At 32.5% G+C, this 1,995-nt stretch overlaps 1 annotated feature.

The window, feature by feature from the left end:
• Positions 322-1,371: an enhancer, noted in NCBI's record as "VISTA enhancer hs649". NCBI's record gives its function as "enhancer in: midbrain (mesencephalon)[4/6] | forebrain[4/6] | cranial nerve[4/6]" and the evidence as "EXISTENCE:transgenic organism evidence [ECO:0001131][PMID:17130149]".

Below are 1,995 nucleotides of genomic sequence, written 5' to 3'. Positions count from 1 at the left end.
TGGGGCCTTAATAAATAGCTATCATGTTATGTATTGTATTACCAAGGTATTTTTCAGTAGTATACAATTATGATGATTATGAAATTTTTAAATATCTTTTATTGAAGGACTGCAGATCATAATATTTGCTCCCTTTCTCCCACAAAAAGTTGTCTAGAATTTATTCACAATTTTTTTTCTTTTGTCATACTTATAGTTCCATATACTCAAATGGATAATCAAATGTTATTTGATCCAATCAGTGAAAGCAGAAGTAGATCAGAATTTTCCTCTAATGATGAAAATATGATTATTAAATAAGTAATATTCTCCAGAAGTAGATACGTATTCTAACATTAAGCCTTGCTGAAATTTTTAGTTTTAAAATTTTGCTTTCATCTTTCTTCTAATTATTTTTATTTTAAAAAATCAGGGTAGAGGAACCAAAATAAAGTTCTTCGGCAAATAGGAATCCTGTTTATTTTCCAACTCTGAACTCAGCAGGTTAAGTAATTGGGCTACAGAAAAGTTCCCCCATTTCTATTTCCAGCTGGTGATACACAAAAGGCAGGAAGTTATCTCATTAATGGGGCACCAGCTTTATGCAAATTATAGTAACAAAAAGGCTTCCCTTCATACTTTTTCATAAATTACCTAATAAAGTGGGAATAAATGGCCATATTCAAGAGCCTTTGTTGTATTTTTAGCACAAGACTCTTTCTGTTACTGCAAATATGACTAAATGTGCCTTGTTCAAAAGGGGTGTTTATGAAATAAGGCCACTCAAAAGCTTTTATTCCTTAACAGCCTTCAGTTACTTTTATGGCACAAAATTAACATAATTAGTCACAGAGAATAGATGACATAAGCAGCATGCCATGCACAAAAGGGGGAAGCAGTATCTAAGGAAGGTGTTTTGAGAGATCAAAAATTTTCAAAGTGCTTAATACTAGAAGGTCCTTTTTATTTGTGCACAGCCTTAAGATACTTTTTTTTTTAACTCCGTGAAATTCACATAATGAGATGCAGTAGACAGATGACATTAGCGATGTGCCATTAGAAAGAGGTCAGTTTCTTCTGAAAGATAGTCACTGTTCCTGCTCGTCATTAATTTGCAGCTTCAAAGCACTGAGCATATGATAGCCTGGCATGTTAAGCAAGTTGCAGTTATCTTTAAATAACCATTTTTTCCAGTTATTAGAAGCTAAAGTTTTTAAACTACCGACTGAAAGCAAAATTAAAGCATGCAGCAGTGGAATAGAGAGGAAAGGGAAAGAAAGAAAGGCTGCAAGAAGATTAGGAAAATAAAATCAAACATATTTTTAAAATGAAGTTGCTGTGGGGTGGCCTGGAAATTCAATGCTGGAATTTTGGGGGTAGTAAAGATTTGAGCTCTAGCTAGCAAATGAAACAACTGGGAATTTTTGTTTTCTGAGTTCTTATGGCACATATTATAAAACCAAAAAGCAAATTGTATGGTTCTCTATAATTCCGCTGAGGGAGAACAGTGCTGATCTGAAGCCTAAGAGCTCTGTGCAGTAGGAGAGTAAAAGGGTTAAGAGCACTTGGGTTCCTTTTAGATGTGAACTACTCAAATAAAAATACATCGAGAAATATATCAGATTATCTTATTTAAAGAGAAGATCAATGAGATTTCTCTAGTTTGTCTGTGAATAAATCATAGATGAGAAGACAGAAAAGTAAAGAATTAAAGACTGCATTCATCTGAGTTCAAATCTATTATTACAAGACTCTTCTGTTTAATTTATTTTAAATAATTCAATTTTTTTCCAAAGGAATACATGAATATGGTACAAAATTCATAACATTCACAAAGATTTACAGACTTTTACATTTCAAATTTCCTTTGAGTTTATTTTTCACTTGGAAATCATAGAGGCATTACGTAGAGTTTAGCTATTTTAAAAACATCCTGATTTATAACTTCATCTTCCACCACCCAAAATAAGATTCAGTCACCAAAATCTCTGATGAGCACATGGAGACTGATTTTTC

This window comes from Homo sapiens, chromosome 2, assembly GCF_000001405.40.
Source record: "Homo sapiens chromosome 2, GRCh38.p14 Primary Assembly".
Taxonomy (NCBI): Eukaryota; Metazoa; Chordata; class Mammalia; order Primates; family Hominidae; genus Homo; species Homo sapiens.
Note: the sequence above shows the minus strand (reverse complement) of the source record. Positions and strands in the feature narration are given on the sequence as shown.